Source organism: Homo sapiens, chromosome 3 (genome assembly GCF_000001405.40).
Source record: "Homo sapiens chromosome 3, GRCh38.p14 Primary Assembly".
Taxonomy (NCBI): domain Eukaryota; kingdom Metazoa; phylum Chordata; class Mammalia; order Primates; family Hominidae; genus Homo; species Homo sapiens.
In genome coordinates this window covers 151,260,020-151,272,640 of record NC_000003.12, presented here as the reverse complement: position 1 = coordinate 151,272,640, position 12,621 = coordinate 151,260,020, and the positions used below count along the sequence as shown (strand labels likewise).

The window sequence follows — 12,621 nt, the reverse complement described above, 5'->3', positions numbered from 1 at the left end:
TACTCAATATTTTATACTTGGGGCAGAGGACAAACAACCTTTCCCGAGTATGCACTTTGTAAGAATATCCACACTGAAAAACAGGATATAATCTAGGAAAAATTAAATGGTGCTTTTAATTTATAAGTTAGAAAATGGGAATTTGGGAGGAGGAAATACCACTGTGTGCTGGTGCACCTGGAGAACAGAAGAAGCAGAATTAAGATGAGTCTTGTAAGAGGGACATGATACATATATATGGGAAATGATAGACTGATAACTATGGGAATGATATACTGAGTAGAAAAACAACTTCAATTTATGTTTATTTGTCCAAAAACATGTCCTGTTTTATTTTTATCTTGACCTCTTGACTTGAGAAACCTTGACCCTATTTGAGAAATCTTATCCCCAAGTCCTAAAAACATTTACCTCTTTGCATCTTCAAAACACAGCACAAACCATCTATTGTCCAGAAAGCCTTTTCTGTTTATCCTGCCTTTTCCTGCAAGCTCATGTGGTACACACTGTCACTTCTGCCCTCTTTCAAGCACCCTATACCATTTACACACACATTACAATCTGCTCTGTGTATGCTCAACATCTGTATTGCTTCAAGAGCAAGTTTTGTGCCTTTGACTTTTTCCCCTAATTTATATTGGGGTATAAACCACATACAATAAATGAAAATTAGATTTTAAGTGTAGAGTTCATTGAGGTTTGACACCATATAATCACCACCCCAATTAAGATAAATAGTATTTCCATCACAAAAATTTCATCATTCTCTTTTCTAGGCACAGCCATCTACATTCCTAATTTCTCTCATTAGAGCTTAGTTCTACCAGTATTAGAACTACACTGAAATGGAATCACAAGGTACATAGTCGTTTGTGTCTGACTTGTTTTGCTCAACATGTTTTGAGATTTAACTTGTTTTGCTCAGCATGTTTTGAGATTTACCTATATTGTGGGCCCGCATCATCCTCCGGATCACCATATGGTATTCTATGAGTATACCACAATTTGTTTACCCATTTTAATCTGTTGATGAGCATTTGGGTTGTTCCCAACTTTTGGCTGTTGTGAAAAGAGTTGCTATGAATATTCTAATATAAGTCTTTCTATGGACATACACTTTCACTTCTCCTGGGTAAACACCTAGGAGTGAAATTACTAGGTCACAAGGAAGCAACATGTTTAACTTGATAAGAAGTGACCCGTTATTCAAAGTAGATTTACTATTTTACACTATAACCAAAAATATACCAAAGTATCAATTATTCTATTTCCTCGTCAATTCTTAACATTGTCAAGTTTTTTTCCATTCTAATGGGTGAAAGTACTACCTTATTATTTTAATTTGTATTTCCCTGTTGACAAGTGAGGCTGAGAATCTTTTCATGTGCTCCTTGACCAAACAGCTTCCTTTGTGAATTATTTGTTTGCATCTTTTCAGCATTTTTTTTAAGAAACTGAGTTTGTCTTTTTATTATAGAGTAATGAAAATTATTTAAATAGTCTGAGCCTTTAACAGAGATACTTTTGTGAATATTTACTCCCCAATCTATGGCTTGCCTTCATTTTCTTAATGGTGTCTACAAAAAAAATGAAAGTTTTAAATTTGGGGATTTTTTTTTTTTTGGTTTTTGGGTATGTGTACACATTTAGTTTTATTCTAACAAAGCAACTTGTACACTTTTAACATTTAAAACTAAGTGTCATCTTTCCTTTCCAGTGAAATAAAAAGAAAATTTTAAAATAGACAGGTACAAAAGTACAACAGAGAATGTGAATTCTAAATAATATCCTGCAGGTTCTGTGGATTGTCCCATCGAGTGGCAGGGCAAGAGTCATCACTGGAGAGAACTTATTTTAAATGTGTCATGTTAAACTGCAAAGATGCCCATTAAACATCACAATTAAATATGCCAAAGGAGAAGCCATGTTGTCAAAATACACACTTAACCCACCCAAACATCTCAAACTCACCCTTTGCTGACCTTACATAGTCCCATTTTTTGTTTTGTCTTTTTTTAAACAAGAGAAAGTAGACAGATACATGTTGGCAAATGCTAACTATCCATATTCACGCAGAGACACAGTGTTCTGAGCATAATACACAGAGAAAGGAAGAAAAGCGCTAAAATTCTGTGCACTAATACACAGGGGCTTAGCACCATGCAAATTCCAGCAGAGCAAAGGGAGGTTTTTCTTTTTTCCCCAGAGAGTTCAGTGGTATTAAATCCATACAGTTTTTGTTCAGACAAGAAGGGATAAAAATGAATTTGGAACAGAAAGGGGTAGAGATCCTTTTCCCATTGTATTCTGCTCAAGTTATTTTCCCCCCAAATAAGTTGAGAGCTGTGGTGTAGAGAAAAAAAGACCTCAAGAACAAGGCAGCTGAGCCCAAAAGAAAACACACACACACACACACACACACACACACACACACACACACACACGACAGCTTGCTCCCAGGAACTGGAGAAAATTTTTAAAAAGGTTGGAACCTATCAGTGTTCTATTAGTCATTTTCTCCTTCACCCCCTTTCTTTCCTCCCTTTCATCATCATCTTCATCTTCTTCATCTTCATCCTTATCCCCTTTCTTTATCAATATCTTCCCATCCTTCTTCATCATTTATCTCCTTCCCTTTCTTCATCATCCATATTGAAAACCAAGTAGTACTGTAATGGATTTGTCCAAGTATTATCTTTGATGAACTCTCCCAACTCAACAACACCTGCATCAGAACGGTCAGTAAACCAGGTAAAGAAGCTCTCTGGTTCTTCGTGCTGCCTCTTCCTGCTGACTTTACTCTGCGTTTGACTGGAACGTTTTCATTATATCCTTTCCAGATTTGCATTTGACTTCAGTGGACTCTAAAAATAGATCACCACTCTCATTCAGATGAAATTCCTTGGAGAGAACTTTATTTTCAAACTAAAGATTTTCATCAAAATAAAAATCTTTCTGTAACCTGATTTAATACCTCCAAATTCTGTCACTTCAACTCGTCAAATAATACAGTGCCTCTTTGTCTTCCTCCCCAAGTAATGTAGACACTTGTGGATGGCTGACAAATGCTGTTACCCAAAAATTTGAAATTTGGGCAATCAATTTTGACCTCTTCCAAAAAATGGTTGGCAGAATTTGTTATACTTCTGTTCTGCTTTCACAATCTCCCCACTGGCTTGTTCATTAAGTCTCTGAATTTTGTGTGTGTGTGTGTGTGTGTGTGTGTGTGTGTGTGTGTGTGTGATGGAGTTTCACTCTTGTTGCCCAGGCTGGAGTGCAATGGCACGATCTCAGGTCACTGCAACCTCCACCTCCCAGGTTCTAGTGATTCTCCTGCCTCAGCCTCCCAAGTAGCTGGGATTACAGGCATGCACCACCACACCTGGCTAATTTTGTATTTTTAGTAGAGATGGGGTTTCTGCATGTTGGTCAGGCTGGTCTCGAACTCCCGACCTCAGGTGATCCACCCACCTTGGCCTCCCAGAGTATAGGCATAAGCCACCGCGCCCAGCCTGTATTTCCTTTTGTACGTCGTCAATATATTCAATTGCTTCTTTCTGTTCTTTTTCTCCCTTCTTCAGCAAGCCCAGAGAGGCCAATGTCTCCTCCGGTCTCAGAGCAGGAAGTAGTCTTGGTTTTGGGGGTCACACCGCTAGGAAAGTTCAAGAACCAGACCACAATTCTTCTTTCTCGTCAGGAAGACGCTCAGAAAACTTAATTTTTTTTGTTTTGTGGCTAAAAAATTTTGCATACTAAAACCAACCGAAGGTTGGGAAGGTATTTTACATTTTCCTCTAGAAGCTTTGTGGTCTTAGTTTTACCTTTAGGTCTATGATACATCTTAAATTGCTTCCTTGATTCCTCCATTTCATCTGTTAGTAGCTCTCTGCAGAGAACAAGTGCTTTGTAAACACTGCTGACTCACTTATAAATGCCCTATAGGTTAGAAGAAATGTGTTTTCAAAGCTTACTAAAGGCTCTATGCTCAGCCTCAGTAACATTCTAGATTTAAAAAACCACTAATGGGAATGAACTCACAAATTAGACAAAATTTGAAACAAATTAGGCAAAATTTGACAAAATGTCTAACTCACAAATTAGACAAAATGGAGAAACCTGGAAGCTTCCATTTAGAACTCATGTTATGGTTCTGCCTAGGACATGCCTTGACTAGGGCAGGGATAATCCAGTTTCATTTCTGTACAAATAGCAGTTTAACTCAGCACAGAAAATGGAGAGCAGTATGCTCACCATATTTTCTTCCTCTTTGTATATATGTTAGAAAATTACCATGTCATTAGCATAGACTGAATTCTTTTTAACAAATTAGGCCATAAAACAGTAATTCACAGCAGCTCTGTTGAAAACTGACTTATATATATATATAAGTAATAAATGTTACAAGATATTACTCTCAAGAGACATTTTCTATACCCTAAAACACTGGCATTATTTTATAGGATTTAGGTAGCTTTAAAAAATGTTTTATTAATGCTTTGTATTGAAAACATGTAAGCTGAAAACATAAAAAGAAGTATTCCCACTGTTTAAAGACTACCACCGATGCATATTAAAACAGAGCATTTCCAGCTATTTCCTTGAGACTTTACTAAGAACGCATAAGACTAAAAAGAGCAAAAATTACCCTTGTCCATTTTACTGGCATTTGGAGAAATTCATAAATTAGGATAATAGCGCATTTCTTAAGTACTTAGCAACTGATAAAATACTCTACGTACAAAGAAATTTTAAAAAGCTATTCTCAAACACTGTATTTTGACAGCTGTTTCCTTGATATTATTCAGCCAAAACATGCTCCATGTTTTAGCAAGGTTCCTTTCTTATTACTCTGCCTTAGTGCCTAAGTTTCTACACCACAATTAGGCAATTCTTTTTAATGAATTAGGCCATAAAACAGTAATTCACAGCAGCTCTGTTGAAAACTGACTTATATATATAAGTAATACATGTTACAAGATATTACTCTCAAGAGACATTTTCTATAGCCTGAAACACTGGCATTATTTTATAGGATTTAGGTGGCTTTAAAAAAATGTTTTAAATTCATAGGAAAACTATTTACATCTAAGCAAGGACCGAGGCTCTCATTTGTAGCTTGCACTTTTCTGTTTTTAACAATTACCCAGATTCACAAGCTAACATTTCAGGGATAATCAATAGTGGCTTAGAATTTAGGGTGAAAAAAGAGAAAGTAACATATAACCTTGATATTGTTTCTTTCTAAAAAGAAAAGGGGATTTGTGATTAGCTACTTAAATTTGATTACATTATACACTTAAATTCCTTTTCTCATGAAGTATTTCAATGACTACCATTTCCTTAATAGCACTTCATTATTGTTATGCCTTTCTAAATGACAATGTACAATCCTTTTCACAGCCAAAGGTCAAAAAGAATAAAGAAAGCAAAAATCTCCCAGTAAGGAATACTGTCATAAGTCACATCTTCCATGAAGTGTTTAGTTGATAGTTCCTGTAAACAGTCAAAATAAACTTCACTTCAAGAATGTAAGGAGTTCTAACACGCAAGAAATGAACTCTAGAATGAGCTGCCCAGACAATTTTAAATTAGGAAAAAGTCTTTTGTACTTTACAGTATAGATGTAATTTGTCAACACTATGTATAAAGTAAATCCAAACATCCCATAAAATCCATTTTAAACCATACTGAAAACACTCCAGGACAGAATGGATTGACTTCATGTGAAGGTGGGGGTTTATAAAAGTTACAGACTCCTACAACATGCTGGGCATGACAGCATACCAATTCCTTCCCAGGAGAAGGAAGTTTTCCCTTCGTAGGACATCTACAGCACTTTTTTGCTCTGACCTTAGTCTTTCTTCTTACCAGGCAGCTAACTATTTCCTGCATGTATGCTTTATTTTTCCCTGTGCCAAGCCACCAAGTCCCAAAGCTTTCCTCCCATGGCTGGAGTTCCTTTCCACTGATATGTTCATATCACTTGCTCATCCACTCCTTCATTTACTTAAAATCTTCAAGGTACTAGAATAGGAAAGAATGTTCAAGGAAAATAAGACAGCAACCCCCATCTCTTATAGCTAACGCTAAGGTGGAAGTCAAAATTGAAACGCGATTTTTAAAAAGGACTGCACTATTATACAACTGCTTCTGTAAAAATATAATTTAAAAAATGTCTAGAGTCTAGGCAACCTGTGTTTAATGTTAAGTCCGTTCGCTCAACACTAAACTGCTTTCTATCTGGATGATACTGTAAATGTGATCCTAAAAGTCTCTTCTGTTTGAGATTTCCAGACACATGCAGTGATAGGGTTCAAATATTTCACAAATTTGTTAACATTTTGGCTTTGATAAGTTCATGTTCTCATTTTAATAGAAGATGTTGAATACCTTGGAAATTGAGGTCATGAAGGGACATCTACTTATTTAACAGAAATCAGATGAGCCTTCCTCAAAGGCACAGAGGCAGCAGCATCATTAGCATAAAGTTGCCGTAACAACGTTGTGCTGCAAACAAAAGCACTAAGGAGAAAGGGGAACTGAAAGGGGAAAGATGGCAGCAAAGCCAAGGGCACCTGTGCACACTGCCAAGTCGAATCTAAGTCAGTAGCTCAGAAACTCTTGTAACTGAGCAACCTGAAGGCACAGACAACAATTAAATGCCTCTTTGAACCAGAACTAATCAGACTTGCCCAGCGCTGATGCCCTTTGCCTGCCATCTTCAATTCTCAGGGCCGCAAGACTCTGCTCCAAGCCTTTCCATGATTCCCTGAAAAGGACCAAGAGACCCTTCCAATTTCATAGGTGTTCTGACTTTAATTTGCAGGGAGAAATTTTTTTATACAAACACAATCTTACCAATACATAAGACAGAACCAGAAATACTATACTCTTGGTGAGGCTGAGATGGGGACACCATCCGTCTCCCTGGAACCCCAGAAGGCCTATGAGGACTGCCAGAAGCCAGCCAAGAAACATTTTAAAACCTACTCAGATTCCTCCGTATAAAAAGGAATATTCTTATGATGAGCCTGCTGTATACTGCCTATTTTCTTAGAGAGAAACCCTGAATATAACTGAAAATCTGTCATCAGTGATTTGAGAGGAGATAGGGAGGATGATGGCAGTGACCGGCAAGTGGGCAGTTGAGAATAAAGACTCGAAAAGGCTCTCATGGTGTAAGACACAAATATAAGAGTAAAGAAGCAGAAGATAATGATACTCAAAAAAGAGAAATCAGTCTGTGAAACTTCTGCTTTTTAAAAAATTCTCAGAAATTCCACGTCTGTGCTGGGAAAAATAAACTCAACAGTTTTATTTTCCTGATCTCTTTAACTTTAAAAGCCAAAAGATCTACTCAGTTTCCATGATGACTATTTAAAGTCTCAGAATAGAGCATCGTACATTATATTCTATGAGTAGCTCCCCTTTGTTTATTCCGTCTTTGGCTCAACCATTATTAACTGAATACTTCCACTGTGCCAGATACTGCTCTAGGTGCTGGCGACACACAGCATAACAAGTGGTTCTGCACTGAAGAATAATCTAGCAGGCTGGAGGCAGGACATAATGGCGAGTTCTGGAAAATAGGGTGAGAGGAAGAAATCATCATGAAGATGAGAGATCAGAACAGAAATAAGGGAGACAAAGAGGGAGAAAGAGCAAATGGAGAAGATGGGTGTGTTATCTTTGAAGTGGAGGAGCAAGAGCAAGAAGGCCAGTGTGGCTACAAGAGAAGGGCAAGGCAGTGGCCACAGGAGGTACAGTCAGAGAACCAGGCAGGGCCAGCTGGTCATGTAGAGCCATGCAGGCCATGACCAAACTCTGGATGTTTTCTAAGTGTGATGAGACCACACACACACATACACACACACGCACTGGGTGGGCCTGAGCAAGGGAGTAGCAAGACTTAATTTGTGTTTTTAGAGCTCCTTCTTGCAGCTGGCTGGGGTAGGGGGCACAGGCTGGAAGGTCACAGGAGGCTCCTGCTCCCAGCATTGATTATGACAGAGCAGTTTTTAATACACAAATTAAACTGCAATTTGAGGGAAACAATTTCAGGAGAAAGAAACCCCATCAACTATAAATGAGAAAACTCTCCATACTGGGTTATGGTTATCTTAGAGATGTGCGCTTTACACAATCATAAACCAACTAATAAGCTCAGGTTTGAATTTCTGAGACAGGCCATAAGGCGTTTTCAATAAAAGCTCTTAAGCAGTTTCTTCTTTCCTAACTGACAAAATACACTCCTACTGCCCTCGTGAGAAGAGTTCAGTTCTTCCATTTAAAAGATGGCATGTCCAATAATTACTTAATTTTATGCTAAGTGAGCACAAACTCTTTTTGATGTCACAGCAAACAAGTGCTTACAAAATAATGAAATCAATTACAGCAGCTGTACTGAAGACCAACCTCAAAACACAACCTTCAAAGATTTTAGGGGAATGTGGGAGGGAACAAGGAAATACAAGTACAGAGATCTTTAAACACTGAACAATGAAATAACCCAAATGTCCAGTAACAGAAAAATGGTTATGATTCTTTTCTTCAGTGAAATGAAGTAGAACTACTCAAAAGAAAAAGGCAGAACTTTAAAAACTGAAATGGAAAAGTCACCATGATATACTGTTAAGTGGGTAGGGGAGAGGGAAGGAGTGGTGGTAAGAGATCTCAGCCTCTGTCCATCGTTATCTGCCTTTCTACAATTCCTAACATTAACTGAAGGCTGTGCCACACTTTACCCTGCACTGACTTCAACACTGCTTTGTATTGTCTCACTCTTACCACAACCCTATGGGGTAAAGAGAATTATTACCATTTAACAGATGAGTTAGGTATTTTACCAAGAGTCACAGAGCTGATAAGTGGGGGGGGTGGTACGGGAATCCAGGAATTCCAACCCTGTAGCCTGCATTCTTAATCTCTATATTACATTAATCTCTTAGAGATGAGTCCTTATTCACTGAACATGTTAAATTAATTTTTTCTTGGATTGTTTCTTTCAAATAACACTTAAAAAATTTAAAACTCCCATTTGATGTTCTGGGAAATAATTTCAAGGAAAATTAAATTAACGATAAAACACGTAAAGCTCATGATATTTTGGAAAGTTGATATGACCCAAGTTGGCATTAAACTCAAAATCAAAGAACAAAACAACTTTACAAACAAATGTTATTTAAAGGCTCAGTGACTTATGATAATTCTGTCAGCCTTCACTATGATAGCAAATTGTGAACACCACATTTGTACATTTCCTTCTGGTTCCACATGTTTGTAATAATGCAATGTTATCCAGTTTAAAATGAAACAGATGCTCACAAGTTTAAGACACTCTGGGGAGGTCCACTCAGCTGGCATTATTTCAGCAGTTTCACGTGCTGATGACAAAGGACTGGAAGATAGCTGAAGGTGAGGCTGATTAGCCAAATCACTAAAGGGTGCTGGGCCATCCTAAAAGCACAGGGCCTGTGCACACTCCTCAGCTGTTGATCCATCTCTGCACCCACTTCGCCCATGCAGACATGTCCTAATCCTCACTCGTCAACCCCATGTACTCCTACATGGGTCTCTTCCCCAACGCCACCCCACGCGACAGTCATTCATTGCAGTGTTTTCTCTTCCTCCTAAAGACCAGCAGAGGGTACATGTTAAGATGCCCTAGAGAACTACGGCTTCCCCTGCCTCAACTCAAATCCTTACCAGCTACGTGTCTTCAGGCAAAATGCTTAACCTCACCAAGCCTTACTGCCCTCTATCATTTAACTGAGGAGACGTTAACAGGACTTACTTTATATAGAAGCTATCAGGTTTTAATGAGTTAATATAAATAAGGAATTTAGAACAGTATCTGGCATACAATAAAAACTCAGTAAGTCTTAGGTATTATTATTATTCCTGTTATCTTCCTAGTGCATTTTACCATTTGCAACAAAATAACTGGTTACCCAAGAATAAATCTGTCGGTGATTTTAATTTTCTGCTTTCTACTTTTCTGTATTTTCTAATGTATTTACATTGCCCATGCATCCCTTAGTAAATTTAAAAAACACATATACAAACTAAGCTTTTAACATAGGCCTCACCAAATTTCCTTCACAGTGGCTGGCACAGGGACCTCCAAAAGGCTGAACTATGTAAAGTCTATGGCTGAGCAAGCAGGCACCCACTGTTGCCAGCCAGGTGTCAGGGCCACCCCATAGGTACCATGTTTACATTCACCACAGGGCCCAGCATTAATGTCTGGAGATATCTCAGTGTGCAAATTCTTCCCACAAAAAGTTGGGGGCAAACCACAGTCCAGGGCTACTCATGCTACTGGAGATGAACAATAATCAAATTCTCAAATCCAAACTATCACTAGTGTGACTTAAAATCTAATACTTCTGATGGGATACATCCTGAAACCAAAATGTTTCCTTTATAACAGGGGACTTAATCAGGAGAGTTCATGAATTCCCTGCTAGTGTATAAAATGTGTCTGTACATTTTTCTAGCTATCTAACTTTCAATAAATTCTGAAAGGTATTCATAACCCAAAGCTATTAAAAAATAGTAGTTTTAACAGTGATTCTCAAACTTTAACATGTTTGTTAAAACATCTACCCCTTCAGCTGAGTGCAGTGGCACATACCTGTAATCTTAGCACACTGGGAGGCCGAGGCGGGTCAATCACTTGAGGTCAGGAGTTCAAGACCAGCCTGGCCAACGTGGTGAAACCCCGTCTCTACTAAAAATACAAAAAAATTAGCCAGGCATGGTGACGAACGCCTGTAGTCCCAGCTACTCGGGAGGCTGAGGCACAAGAATGTATTGAACCCAGGAGGTGGAGGTTATAGTGCGCCAAGATCATACCACTGCACTGTGGCCTGGATGACACAGCAAGACTCTGTCTCAAAACACAACACAACAAAAACAAAACAAAACAAAACAAAACAAAACAAAACAAAACACCACGTACCACTGGACCCCTCCCCAGAGGCTGAGTTTCAGGAATGGAGGTGTCTGGGAGTCTTGGGTAACTTGCATTTCCAGCAAGTTCTCAGGTCATGCTGATCCAGGCCCAGGAACCACACTTTGAGAACCACCAGCTTAAGGAGTTATGTGGGCATTTTTACTTTATTCTGAAGATAAGCAACCAACCTCTCTAACGGAAGTAATGTATGAAAACTAATGGCTGTTTCTCCATTACTTACCCAGGAATTACCTAGCAAGCCATGGCCACCATCCCTCTTACCCTCCACAATTCCAGGTAGGCTACACTTGACTATCAGTTCAATCCTGCAAATATTATCATATTCCTTATATCCTATTAGATTAGAAACCAGCTTTGATATTAGGATAAAACTGTGGCTGTGAATGTATCTCCACCTCTGCCTTTTGGGGTTTTTTTTTGGTCTCTCCATCATTCGTTCATGCAAAATACCTCTCTAATCTGTCTCATTCATGGGCATTTCCAAAAGAGAATGGGGAACAGTATAATTTAGTTTATAAAATTGCACCCCCTCTTATTTCAGAATTAAATGCATAAATAAACATGGCCCTGAAAATCAAGATGCTTCCCCTCCAAAAAAACAAAAGCCGATGACATTCCATTGTTAAACACACAGGGATCCTCAGGCCATGCTTGCCCTGCAACACACAGAACCAAAGACACCATACACATCCACACCATCAAGGAAATCAGTCTGGGGAGATGGAAACTGGAAGGCCAGAAAAATGGATGTGACGCCGTCAAGATAAAGATAAATGTTGACTTTACTGGAAACGTCTCAGCTTTGAGTATAATTTAGTCTGAATACAACTAAGGCAGGAACAGTATTCTGAAGAGAAAAAAAAAGATTACAGTTATTTACAAGAATACAGTTATTTACCTTTTAAAGACTAGGTCCAAATACCTACAAACCTCAGAAAAGTGATCACTGGGAAACAAAGCCGGTCAGCATTGAGCTGTACTTATGTAAAATGTCATTAAAAACCAGCTTTAGGGCCAGGTGCAGTGGTTCAGGTCTGTAATTCCAGCATGTTGGTAGACTGTGGCAGGAGGATCACTTGAGTTCAGAAGTTCGAGACCGACCACGGCAACATTGTGAGACCCCTATCTCTATGAAAAATATAAAAATTAGCTGGACACAGTGGTACACGCCTGCAGTCCCAGCTACTTGGGAGGCTAATATGGGAGGACTGCTTAAACCCAGGAGTTTAAGGCTGCAGTGATCCACTATCATGCCACCTCACTCCAGCCTGGACAACAGAGCAAGACCCTGTCTCAAAAAACAAACAACAACAAAAACTGGCTTTTAAAAGATATTAGTAGACCTAGATTAAGAAGGAAATGAGAGGTTAACATAAGTTCATAATGCATTTTGGCTGTATCAACTCTTAACAGAAAGTCCATACAATTTAATTAGGCTAGATAAGGTGACGTTGCGGCTCTTTTCTTTATTTTTAAACACCGTGTCCATTAAGTTTACTAGCCCTCATTCTTTCCACAACTGAAACACACTCATGATCTGCTACCCTAAGCCCACCAATGGTGTCCCCAGTCCCACCCATCACCATATCCCCAGCAGTGAGCTGAATGCTGTGGTTGACAAAAACAAAATACAAAATAACCCG

At 38.7% G+C, this 12,621-nt stretch overlaps 2 protein-coding genes and 1 pseudogene across 28 annotated transcripts in view, besides 1 other annotated feature; 1 reads left to right on the top strand and 2 right to left on the bottom strand.

The window, feature by feature from the left end:
• The window catches only part of MED12L (mediator complex subunit 12L), a 350,990-nt gene that overhangs the window by 164,013 nt on the left and 174,356 nt on the right, over positions 1-12,621 (bottom strand). The window lies entirely within an intron of this gene.
• Positions 1-12,621, top strand: part of P2RY14 (purinergic receptor P2Y14) — a 66,426-nt gene that overhangs the window by 5,902 nt on the left and 47,903 nt on the right. Inside the window, exon 2 of one of the 4 annotated variants that reach the window (XM_005247922.4) lies at positions 11,203-11,254. The exons of the other annotated variants lie outside the window; for them this stretch is intronic. The gene's annotated coding sequence lies outside the window, so the exon portion shown is untranslated. The remainder of the gene's footprint in view (positions 1-11,202; positions 11,255-12,621) is intronic. 4 annotated transcript variants of the gene reach the window in all.
• On the bottom strand, positions 2,347-3,199 carry SETP11 (SET pseudogene 11; annotated as a pseudogene).
• Positions 3,724-3,793: an enhancer, noted in NCBI's record as "active region_20700". NCBI's record gives its function as "activates an Ori minimal core promoter by ATAC-STARR-seq in GM12878 lymphoblastoid cells {active_cell/tissue: GM12878}" and the evidence as "EXISTENCE:reporter gene assay evidence [ECO:0000049][PMID:35858748]".